At 38.6% G+C, this 13,436-nt stretch overlaps 1 protein-coding gene across 2 annotated transcripts in view; it reads right to left on the reverse strand.

Moving 5' to 3' along the window:
• ANOS1 (anosmin 1) overlaps positions 1-13,436 on the reverse strand; it is a 203,264-nt gene that overhangs the window by 80,475 nt on the left and 109,353 nt on the right. The gene's annotated exons all lie outside the window — the stretch shown is intronic.

Genomic DNA, 13,436 nt, shown 5'->3' on the forward strand with positions numbered 1-13,436 from the left:
AGCAACTGCAGACCACAAGCCAGTTTCAGCTAGATTATAGAGGCTGTGCACAAATTCTGTGTCCTGTAGTTCACTTTTCGATGTAAAGAGCCAAATTCCACCTCATCTTAATGCTAAAACCCTGCCCCAAAGTGAACATTGAATGTTATGTTATTACGAGGGTATTTTAAGAAAGTTAACCAAAGATTTAGCAGAAAAATGTCTGAGAAAGCTTCATCAGAGAGCCTTTCTCCACCATAACAATGGCCCTGCTCATTCCTCTCATCAAATAACAGTAATTTTGCCAGAGTTTCAATGGGAAATCATTAGGCATCCACCTTACAGTCCTGATTTGTCTCCTGACTTGTTCTTGTTTCCTGTTCTTATAAGAATCTTTAGGTCGGGCATGGTGGCTCATGCCTGTAATCCCAGCACTTTGGGAGGCCAAGGCAGGCGGATCACGAGGTCAGGAGATCGAGACCATCCTGGCTAACACGGTGAAACCCCATCTCTACTAAAAATACAAAAAATTAGCTGGGCGTGGTGGTGGGCGCCTGTAGTCCCAGCTACTCGGGAGGCTGAGACAGGAGAATGGTGTGAACCCGGGAGGCGGAGCTTGCAGTGAGCCCAGATTGTACCACTGCACTCCAGCCTGGGCGACAGAGCAAGACTCCATCTCAAAAAAAAAAAAAAAAAAAAAAAAAAAAACAACAACCTTTAAAGAGCACCCATTTTTCTTCAGTGAATAATATTTTTCAAAACCTACATTGACATGGTTAAATTCCCAGGACCCTCAATTCTTTAGGGATGGACTAAGTGGCTGATAACATCACTTATAAAAGTGTCTTAAGCTTGATGGAGCTTATGTTGGGAAACAAAGCTTATATGTTTTATTTTTGGCTTTTGATTCCATTTTTCCATGAACTTTCTGAAGTCCTCTTGTGTATGTAACCACGTTATTCAGACATTGGACAATAGGTAGCACAAGACAAGAAAACCTATAAGGACACAAATGAGATGAGCTACAATTTTGCCAAAAAAATGATTTGACGTAGTTTCAAATCCACAGTGCAAGGAAGGCTAATCCCAAGATAGCTCTGCAATTTTTCCAAGTTGTGGATAAAGAGATTAAAGCTTGAGGCTGAGATGGCCAGATCTTGTGGGCAGACTGTAAAGCAGGATGAAACTGCATGAAGAGAGAAACCTACAGGGATTCAGAGGGACCCTTTGATTTCTGGCTGAATACTGACTTGAATGTGCATGGCTTCAAACTGCATAAGTCTGGGGAAAGAATAATCAGACAGCAATAAAGGAAACCATTCTAGCAAAAACTCACATTTCAACCAGTCAGAGTGCAGAGAATGCACAATTCATGAAGCATTGGCTAGAGTCCTCAGAAGGATATCACCTAGTAATGGGATAAATTGGGCCTAGTCTAAAGGCTACTACTCTGAACCCGCCCCCAAGAAAGCTTAAAAGAAACTTTTAAAAATAAGAAAATGAATCTCAAAAGGAACTTAACTACATGCCAGAACAAAGTCTAACACTTTCTGGAAAGATACAGCAAAATTCAAAACACAAAAATTTGACATCCAATCAAAAATAATCCAGTGTGCAAAGAAGCAGGAAATTGCGGCACATAAAATGGGAAAAAAGGGATCTACAGAAGCAGGACCAGAAATTATAGAAATGATAGCATTAACAGCAAAGGACATTTAAGAACTAATATAAATATGCTCCATATGCCCAGGAATGTAGAGGAAAACATGGACATAGGGAGGACAGGAATGAAAGCTACAGAACAGAGCTGCATAGAAATTCCAGAAGTAAAAAGGAAGAAATGAAAAATATGTCAAATAGGATTTTTAAAATGTTAGACACCATAGAAGATAAGATTACTTAAAAGGAAAGCAAAGACACAATGATTTAAAATAAATAAATAAATAAATAAACTATTAAAATGAAGCAGAGGGTGGGAAATGACCAAAAGGAAAAAAAAAAGATCATAGACTCATTGACCCATGAGACAAAATAAGCTGGTCTAATGTGTGTAATTAGAGTCTCAGAACAAGAGAAGAGAGAAGATGGGAGAAATCAATAAATAATATTGAACAATAAATTAAAAATTTGATTAAAATTGTATGTCCAAAGTTAGAGGAATCTCAATTACCCCTAAGCAGAAGAAACAAAGATAATTAACTCAAAGTATACTTAACCGTATTGCTTCATATGCCAGATACTGAAGGAAAATCTTCAAAGCAGATAGAAAAATTAAAAGATACTTTATATATAGTAAAACAAGGATAAGAATCTCAAAGGTTTTTCAGAAAATATGCATGTCGGAAGAAAATAAAGCAATATCTTTAAAATGCTATTTAAAAAAAAAATCAACTTAGAATTTTATACCCATGAAATATCTTTGAAAAGTGAAGATGCCTTAAAGACTACCACAGGTATACAAAAGGTGAACTCATAGCCAGCAACCTAGCATTATAAGAAATGTTAAAAGCAAAAGGAAAATGATAACAGATGAACCTTGGGGTCTACACAAAGAATGAAGAATTCTAGAAATAATAAATACATGATTATATTTAAAAGATGATTTTTCTTATTTTTATATCTCTGGAAGAAGATAAGTTTAAAGCAAAAACCATAAAAATGTGATGTGGAGCTTGCAACAAATGTAGAAGTATGATTTAGGACACTAAGAATACAAATGAAGGGAGTAAACAATGAAAGTATATTGTTATGACATTTTCATATTATACATGAAGTCATTCAAGATGAAACATACTGTGTTCCAAAAAGCAATTCTCAAAAAATTTAAAAGGATAGAAATCCTAAGTTTTGTCTTAACTAGAAATCAGTAGGAAGATATATGTAAAATTCTCAAAAATTTACAAAATAAACCATACACTCATATGAAATTCAAAAATGGAATCACAGAAGTAATCAGAAAATACCTGTGTAAAAATAAAAACATGCTATAACACAAAATGTGGGTTTTAGCTAAAATAGTGCATAGGGCAAAATTTATAGCATAAAGCTCTTATATATGAAAGGAAAATAAGGTCTCAAATTAATTATCTAAGCTCCTACAATAAGAAATTATATAAAGAGAGTCAAACTAATCAAAATTAAGCAAAAGTAAGGAAATAATAAAGGACAGAAATCAATAGCATAGGAAATGACAAAAAAATAAAGAAAAACAATAAAACAAGAAGTTTTTTTTTTTTTTTTTAAAGAAGCACTAAAATTGACAAAATTCTATTGGGATGAATCAAGAAAAAGTAGAGAATACATAACTTACCAATGTCAGTATTGCAAAAAGGGTTCATCACTACAAACCTAACAGACATCAAAATGCTAACGATAAAGGTGAATTAGGCGATAATATGACCTATGCTATTTTTATCAATGTGATAACTTGGATGAAATAGTTCACTTCCTACAAAGACATAGGTTATAAATGCTACTAAAGAAGAAATAGACAACGTGAATAGTCTTATGTCTACTAAAAAATGGAAATAACATATAAAAGTCTCAATAAGTAAATAAATAAACTTTAAGCTCATACAGGAGCTTCTACTTCTTAGAGAAGATAAATATCAGAATTCTTTCTAAATTCCTCCATGAAAGCTCTACCAACTCACATAAAAGGAGACTCTCTTCATTCATTGATTCATTTAACCTGAGTACATCATTCTGCTAGTTACATGAGATGAGAAGGCTAAACTTTATTCCTGCTATCATGTTTACAATGCATTGGGGAATAAAGATAAATCAACGATTATAATTCTGTATCTTGAATAATAAAATAGTGTTTTTTGTTTTTATTTATAAAGAACCATTTTCATCTGCTGATTTTTTCTTTTTCTTGTTCCTTCTTTTTTTTTTTGAAACAGGGTCTCATTCTGTCACCCAGGCTGGAGTGCAGTGGCACGAACATGGCTCGCTACAGCCTCAACCTCCTGGGCTCAAGAAATCCTCCTGCCTCAGCTTCCTGTCTAGCTGGGACCACAGGTGACCACAAGCATGTGACACCATGTTTGGCTGATTTTTTTTATTTTTTATTTTTCGAGGAGATGGGGTCTGACTTTGTTGTCCAGGCTGGTCTTAAACTCCTGGGCTCAAGTGATCCTCCCGTCTTGGCCTCCCAAAATGCTGGTATTACAGGTGTGAGCCACTGAGCCTAGCCTCATCTGCTGGTTTTCAATCATTTTAAGCAATTGCACATTTTCTCCCCATAGACTATCACTGCACAAATCACAGAAGGTTTCACAGAATTGGTAGAAAACTTCAAGTGAGTGCTTTTTTGTTGTTTGTTTTTTAAAACAGGGTCTCACTCTGTCACCCTGGCTAGAGTGCAGTGGCACAAACATGGCTCACTGCAGTCTCGACCTCCTGGGCTCAAGCAATCCTCCTGCCCCAGCCTCCTGTGTAGCTGGGACCACAGGCATGTGCCACCACAGGCATAAACATGGCTATCCCTAAAACAGGGAGCCCCAGTATCCAAGAAGTACAACCACACACTTGCTACTCAAAGGCTAGGCCTTGGTTCAGTAGCATTAGCATCACTTGGGAGCTTGCTGGAAATGCAGACTCTCCTGGCCACACCATATACCTACTGAATACCATATGCCTACTGAACACCATATACCTACTTAATCAGAATCTGCATTAAAGCAGATTCCTAGATGATTCATGTGCGTGACCAAGTCTGAGAAGGCCAGTTCTGGATCATGCTGGACACTGGAGTTGGCATCTTCAGATGCATGAGTTTCTCCCTCTCCATATTTACATTTCCTTCACCCCTAGTTCCTTACTCCAGAGATCAAGTTATCCAATTTGTGCTCCATGTATCTCTGACCTCACACTCCTGACAGCATTCATTTCCCCTGACATATAAATGTATTCCAGTCTTTCCAAGGTAAAACACAAAAATCACTTTCTCAACTGTGAATTCCCCCTAAACACAGCCTCTTCTCTCTCCTCTATGCTCTAGAGACAGTGTTAGGGAAAGACTTTAAACTTATAGAAAAAGTTGCATGTATTTGGTCTGAATTTCCTCCTTACATTTTATTCTATAACGCAGAGTTGTATCTGTTACCTACTATTGATCCACAGAAAGTCTCCCACACAGATTTCCAGTGACTTCCTAACTACAAAACTCAGTGAGCCCTTTTAGTTCGCATCTCACTGACCTCCAATAGAATTAAAAAGTGTTGACCTTGTCTCCTTGTCTTCCTCTTTTATAATAAAAGTAGCTAATATATATGTAATGTGTGTTATCTTCAGATACTGATTAAGTGCTTTATATGCATTCAAAAAAAATTTTTTTACTTAAATTTAGTGCTTTTGCAATTTTCATGATACTCCCCTAACTCCTTATGTGCCTATTTGCCTAGCCCTTCTTTTCAGGCTTAGGTCTTTAAATCATTCTGAATAATCTCCAGTCTTGGTCCCATAAATTTTCAAAACTCATCAATTCTCCTACAACTGAGTCTAGAATAATTTGATACTCCCCCGAGTAATATAAGAAAAATATAAAAAAATTTTTATATTTTATAAAAAATATAAAAATTGAGTCTCAGTGCTTAAAAAGGAAAAAAAGTTTATGTTCCAGATCTATAAAATTTGATACAATGCAGACTGTACCCATCATATGGTGGTTGGCAAAGAATATCTCATAATAATTATAAAAATTCATAAGCATTCTTCAAAACATTTCCACTTTACTACTACTACGTCCCCTAAGTCGAAAAGAAGACTTAGATGAATTCTGCATCTCTTCATTGGTGCCCAAGTAACACCATCTAGAAATACAAGTAACACTTTTATGTGTTACAAAAATGTAAAATACCAATGTTAATCATTTTTAAAAATAAAAGCCTATTATTTATCATACTAAAAACTTTTTGAAAATTGTCTATGTGGCTGAGTGCGGTGGCTCACGCCTGTAATTCCAACACTTTGGGAGGCTGAGGCGGGTGGATCACGAGGTCAGGAGTTCAAGACCAGCCTGGCCAAGATGGTGAAACCCTGTCTCTACTAAAAATACAAAAATTAGCCAGGTGTGGTGGCAGGTGCCTGTAATCCCAGCTACTCAGGAGGCTGAGGCAGGAGAATCGCTTGAACCTGGGGGGCGGAGGTTGCACTGAGCCGAGATCGTGCCATTGCACTCCAGCCTGGGCGACAGAGCAAGACCCTGTCTCAAAAAAAAAAAAAAAAAGAAAAGAAAAGAAAAGAAAATTGTCTATGTGTCAGTCACTCCAGCCTCCATCCCTTTGTCTGGTCCTTACTCTCAGCTGGTCACCCTGATTCCTGTTGCACTGAGAAAAGTAAAGCATTCAAAAGAGAAGTTCCATAGACGCCATTTTCACACCCACCAATGCAGCTGCATCTGGTGCATTAAAATCTCATGCATCCATGGATTCTCATGTATCCATGAATTCTCATGCATCTCCTGTCCCAGGACGTAGAAGCTTGCTCCCATTTCAAACCTGCCTCCATACACACACAATGGTAGACATTGCCATTTAAGGTCATGTGCTTCAGCAATTCCCCCCTTTCTCCTCTAACATCAAATAACCCCTCTCTTCTGAATAATTTTCATCTGCTTGTAAAATATAATTATTTCTCTACTCTAAAAACAATTAAATGTTTGATTACCTTGTTCACACCTCTTCCCACAATCTCATTTGCGCCCCTGATCACTTTTTTTTTTTACAGTAATGCTCACTGAAATGTTTCTATACTCCCTCTCTGTTTCCTCCAACCATTTATCTGAAATTCATGCCAATTAGGCATTTTCTTCTGCCACCCAATAACACTGCTCTTGTCAAAGTCCACAGTGAGCTCCCTGTCGCAGAATCCGATTAATAAATTTGAAGTCTCCATGCTCTTGCAGCACTTGACGCAACTGATTACCTCTTCCTTGTTGAAAAGCTTTCATCGTTTGGCTATCGGAACACCACACTCCCCTGTGTTTTCTCCCAATTTATTGGCCTCTCTTAAATCTCCTTCTTCATCTCCCTATTCCTCTTATGTTGCTGTGATTCAGTTTAACTCATAGACCTGTTTTCTTTCTGTCACCTCATTGAGCTTCATTACTTTAAACAGTACCTTCATGCATGGCATTTGTTCTTTCAGCCTAGAACTCTCACCTAAATTCCAAACTCCTATGCCTGTTTCCCTACAGCACATCTCATACGGATTTCCATTTACATCTGAAACATGCCATGCTCAACACCAAACTTCTGGTCTATTCTTTCTCCCCACCCCACCCCCAAAACTATCTGTGCCTGACACATATCCCACATCTCGTACATTCCAGCTTTCTTACCCTAGTTTTTAAGGACAAAAGCCCTGGCAACACCACTGACTCAACTCTTTCTCCCGTTCCTCATATTGAATCTCTCACCATGACCACTCTAGACTGAGCCACCACTATCTCTCATTTGCTCAGTGGATTAGATTGTACCAAGTAAAAGAAAAAGCCTGAGTGTCTCACCCACTAGACACACTACTGCAGGTCCCATTCTAGTGTCTCTAAAGAATTGACAACTTCCTTAAAAGGAAGTACTCAGGAGCCATATTTTAATGCTCTTAGGAAAATATTTCCAAGTGGAAAATCTTTGTAATAAAAATTGAGTCTGTCTTTCAGTTTGGACATATATCTGTTTAAAAAGAATAGCAACAAAGTTAATCTTTATTTCCCTTTCACAAGTATATTCTAATTGGGGAAGCTATTGTTCTGATATGTTAAAGCAAAACATTGCTAAATGGTACAAATTCTATGTGCTTCTCCTTTTCCAGCCAACACACATTTGGGGAATATTATATCACTTTCACGTTTAGCTCTCATCAGCTTCTTTCAAGACCTTTAACTATTTTACAGACATATCCAGACAGGTACAGGTTCTGTTCCAATCCCTACAGGTATGCATTTAATTATCACTTTAAATTTTAAGACATAAAACCAGTTATAGAGCAGCGAAGAGATAAAAAGTTTTGAGTGCAAGAAATCCCCACAGGAGAGGCATGTTAACCCTTTTACTTTCTGAGGTCTCTTTTCAGTAGTGTTGGAATATTTCTTTCAGAGCCACGTGAAGGGGCAAGGAGCCCTGTCTTCCTTCTCTCCTTGAGGTGCCATTAATTAACTATGATTTGGCCAGGCGCAGTGGCTCACGCCTGTAATCCCAGCACTTTGGGAGGTCGAGATGGGTGGATCACCTGAAGTTAGCAGTTCAAGACCAGCCTGGCCAACATGGTGAAACCCCGTCTCTACTAAAAATACAAAAATTAGCTGGGCATGGTGGCAGGTGCCTGTAATCCCAGCTACTTGGGAGGCTGAGTCAGGAGAATCGCTTAAACCTGGGAGACAGACGTTGCAGTGAGCTGAGACCGAGCCACTGCACTCCAGCCTAGGTGACAGAGTCAGACTCTGTCTCAAAAAGAAAAAAAAAATTAACTATGATTTTAAACCACTAAAACTTCCTTCTCATTTAAGGATAAGCCTGTCCAAGCAGGGATGACTGGGCCAAGAACCTTACATTCGACACAGGCTCATCTTTTATTCCCTGATGAGGGAAGTAAAACCTCCTCCTCTGCTCTGTGTGCTGTGACACAGAATAGGTTTAGAAGGGAAACCCTACAATACAGCAGGAAAGAAATGTAACTAGAAGCTACACCACCTGGATTTTAGATCTTATACTCCACTAACCAACCATGTGATCTTGGACAAATAAATCTCTTCTCCTTGTGTATGAGTTTCCTTGTCCATCAAGCTTACCTAATGAAATTCACATCTAACTTCTTCTAAGGACTGTTATGGGAATCAAATCTATAAGCCTGAAAGACATTTCAAAATGCAAAATCGCAAAGAAATTACTTGATAATTATATATGTAGTAAAGTGAAAACCTCCTTTTCCTTCCCATTTCCAGGCTGAGAAAGACTACTTATCTCAGGATGCATATTCATCCCAAACAACTTGTATTTTTACCCTTGATTGATCCCTGAAGCCAATAAGGTTTCAGCTTTCTATGACGTTAACAGGTACTGCATACTTCCAATGTTGACATCCACTGAGTTCTTACTTAGTGTTGAGATTTCATGAATCAGAAACGTCAAAGTCAAAGATGGCAGCTGTTTTACCAGCTGTTTTATCCAATGCTGACATCCACTGAGTTCTTACTTAGGGTTGAGATGCCATGCATCAGAAACGTCAAAATCAAAGATGGGAGCTGTTTCATTCAGCAAGGAGGCAAGTCATAAACAATGATATATCAAGTTTCACCAAAACTAAGATCATTAAGAATGAGAAATAAATAATGCCATTTAAAATTTAAGATTCCATTGATTGTGAGAAAGGAATGTTTCAACCTAGGAAAATGTATATTTTGTATTTGGTTAAAAAAAGTTTGTCATGGTTTTTAAGATTTTTGAAAATAAGAGAACAGGCCGGGTACGGTGGCTCACGCCTGTAATCCCAGCATTTTGGAAGGCTGAGGTGGGCGGATCACCTGAGGTCAGGAGTTCGAGACCAGCCTGGACAAGAGGGGGAAACCCCATCTCTACTAAAAATACAAAAAATAAGCTGGGAGTGGTGATGCATGTCTGTAATCCCAGCTACTCAAGAGGCTGAGGCAGGAGAATCGCTCAAACCCGGGAGGCAGAGGTTGCAGTGAGCCGAGATCATGACACTGCACTCCAGCCTGGGCGACAGAGCAAACCTCTCTCAAAAAAAAAAAAAAAAAAAAAAAAAAAAAAAGAAAGAAAAGAAAAGAACAGTGATAATGGTTAGTTAATAAACTGAACCTACAAAACAGAATCTATTTGCCTATCTATGTATCTATGATTACGTGCCATGTTCCAAAAACTTGATACATGAAAATAAAATCTCATATAATCCAGAGGACTGCTGAAATATCTCAATTTTTTTCCTGTTTTGATACAAACATTTAACTTCTTCATTTAAAAAATGACATTTATTGGCCGGGCAAGGTGGCTCACGCCTGTAATCCCAGCACTTTGGGAGGCCAAGGCGGGCGGATCACAAGGTCAGGAGATGGAGACCATCCTGGCCAACATGGTGAAACCCCGTCTCTACTAAAAATACAAAAATTAGCCGGGCGTGGTGATGCATGCTTGTAGTCCCAGCTACTCAGGAGGCTGAGGCAGGAGAATTGCTGGAACCTGGGAGGCAGAGGTTGCAGTAAGCTGAGATTGCGCCACTGCACTCCAGCCTGGCAACAGAGCAAGACTCCGTCTCAAAAAAGAAAAAAAAGAAAAAGAAGAAGACATTATTACCTCTGACATTAGCCTAAAAGTAGCAAAAGTTACCGTGCAAATTATAACAAAATCGGTAATCAAATGAGAAGTGAGAGAGATCACGATATGAGAATGAAATGAACCAATTCTAGGTATGTTGTTATTAACATGCCTCCAAAAGTCTCCTCCATGTAGGAAAACTTATTTGTGATTAAAATTACCAAGAACAATGTTTTATGTTTAGAAATGGGTGCTGATAATACAGATTAAGAAGTAACAGTACTCTAAATGGTAAGATGAGTTTTGTAATATAATTATGACTGTTCTTTGTTTTATTGTTTTTTGTTTTGACACAGGCTCTTACTCTTTTGCCCAGTCTGGACTGCAATGGCATGATCATAGCTCATTGCAACCTTGAACTCCTGGCCTCAAGCAATCCTCCTGCCTCAGCTTCCCAAAGTGCTGATATTACAGGCATTAGCCACTGTGCCCAGCCTGTTCTTTTTCTTGGAGCAGGAATTAAAAAACTTTTTCTATAAAGGGCCAGATATTAGATATTTTCAGCTATAAGGGCCATATAATGTTACAAGTACTCAATTCTGTTGTTGTAGCACAAAAGCAGCCATGGACAATATGTAAACAAACCAGTGTGGCTGTGTTTCAATAAAGTTTTATTTATAAAACAAGAGGCAGACCAGTTTGCCTTGCGAGTCATGGTTTGCAAACCTATGCCTTAGAAGACAAATAAGCTCAGACTGCCCTGCAGGTAAACATACCGGGCCGAACATGTCTAACAGTGTAATTGTTTCCGTTGAAGAATAATGTAATCTAGAGTCCCTTCTGGGTCTGAACTTTTACAAAGGGAAAGCTTAGAGTCATGACAATATGGAATTCTGTGCATTCTTAACAAATAATGTGAGAATGGGGAGGATGAACGGGATTGTTTTAGGCCTGTCTCCATAAGTGACTAGGCTTAAAAATGCTGAAACAGCCATCAGTGTTTTCAAGGTTCAGCCTACTTCAACACAATAGTCAGATACTTACTGCAAAATAAAACAGATGCAAAAAACACACAGGGACCTAAAAACAATCAAAGCCACTAAAATGGAACATCAAGTCTTGAGTTATTTAACCGTTGGGCTGAAGCAATTCATCAAAGCTCCTCACATTAAATGGCATCTGTTTTCCCCACCTTTCAAGTTTCAATTAACCTTTCATGCCAGAAGGGATCACATTCAAACACCTGAGTCCCATTTTAATAAACTGGATTTGGTTCAGAACACCTCACAGTTACCTCAGAGAATGGCAATTACAGAAACCTGCTCTTGAATTTGAAATTTACAGGAAGAAAGGTTTCAAATGACCTTCAATTATATCTTCCTTCTCAGCGATCAGATGTAAAAATATCAGCCCAGAGTCACTGATATTTAGGGATAATAAATTTATAAAACAAACACCTTGTTCCTCAAGATTCTATAAACAGGTCAGGAGCAGTGGCTCATGCCTATAATACCAGCAATTTGGGAGGCCAAGGCAGGCGGATCACTTGAGGCCAAGAGTTTGAGAGCTGCCTGGCTAACACGCAAAACTCCTGTCTCTACTAAAAATGTAAAAATCAACTGAGCATGGTGGTGCACGCCTGTAATTCCACCTATCTGGGAGGCTGAGGCACGAGAATCACTTGAACCCAGGAGGTGGAGGGTGCAGTGAGCCGAGATCACGCCACTGCACTCCAGCATGGGAAACCGAAAAAAAAAAAAGATTCTATAAATATTTATTTTTGTGCCTATAGATGTATAGTTTGTGTATGGAATAGGGTAGAAAATTAAAGTTAAGAGCACAACAGTCACTCCACTAGACAGTGTGCTCTAATTGTGTTGACAAGGATTACCAATGCGGGTAAAAATTCAGAATAAATAGTTGATTCAGATACCTCACAGAGCTGTGACCCACAAGCCTATAACACATAATACAAAGTAAATATCATTGTGTTACTTTTGTACAGCTTGATAAGCTCTGTACCATGCACTTACATTCATTATCTATTTTAATAAACACCGTGTAAGATCAATAGGATAAATCCCTCATTTGAAAAATGAGGTTGAAGACACAGGTTAATTGATTTAACTGAATTCATAGAGTAAGTTGGTTTTGCAGTTAGGATTAGAATCAAGTTACCATCATTCACAGCTGAGATCTTTCATCCAGGAGAAAATAAGCCCCACAAAAGCTGGAATTTTTGCGTGATTTTTTTACTGCCACATCTCTACCAAACTGCAGGGCACATTATAGGTATTCAAAAAGTTCATGTTGAATAAATGAATGAATAGATATTTTTAAAATAGTTAAAGTAGGAACACAGAAAAGGTAAAAGCAGAACACAAACAAAGACATGGGATGGCCTCACTCTCCTTATCCTTGCAGCAAATCACCAGTTTTGTTTATTTCTGCTATGTTTTTTCTACATCTCAAGGGGCCCAAACCCACTATGACCCCTGGTGATTGGCCAAGCGGAGTTGACCAGGAACAACACTCAGATAATCAGTGAGGGATCAAAAGAGGGATCAAAATCAAGGAGTTTTAGACCCAGTCTTTCTACCTGGAGGGTTGACCGTTGACAAGCCATTCGTCTGAGGAGCCTCAACTTCCCAGTCCTTCCTGGCTTCCACACGTAACTCTTGGGGACTTACTATCTGCCTTGCTTAACTACAGGAGTATGGGAAAGGTCAAGTAAGATTATGAAGATATTTTACACACAATACATATTGATGAAGCCATTATTGTCCTAATTCTGCATTCATTTTCTCAGAATAAGATCCAGAGTGAAACATAGGCAATGGGATTACACTAGCATTTATTTGCTATAGTGGATGAAGACCAGACCAATGTCTCTGGATCCTTGGAAGAGTTCCCTTTCACCCCCCAGTTCTGTTCAAAGATAATCCATAACATCATTTCATTCTGATGTCGGGGGCACCTCTTCTGGCCAAGACCCTCAACTGAGCTCTCCTGACTGCCAAAATGGACTCTTTTGACTCATTCTCTACTATTCTCCCCAAACCTTCAGATTCTCCTACTTCTCAAGTCCACTGTCCTTGGAATCCTTGGAACCAGGCAGTCTGCTTGGCCTTGTGTCTGGTTACTTCTCAGCAGAATCCAGGCTGGTACAGGGCCTGTGCCCCC

The sequence above is a fragment of the Homo sapiens genome, chromosome X (assembly GCF_000001405.40).
Source record: "Homo sapiens chromosome X, GRCh38.p14 Primary Assembly".
Lineage (NCBI taxonomy): Eukaryota > Metazoa > Chordata > Mammalia > Primates > Hominidae > Homo > Homo sapiens.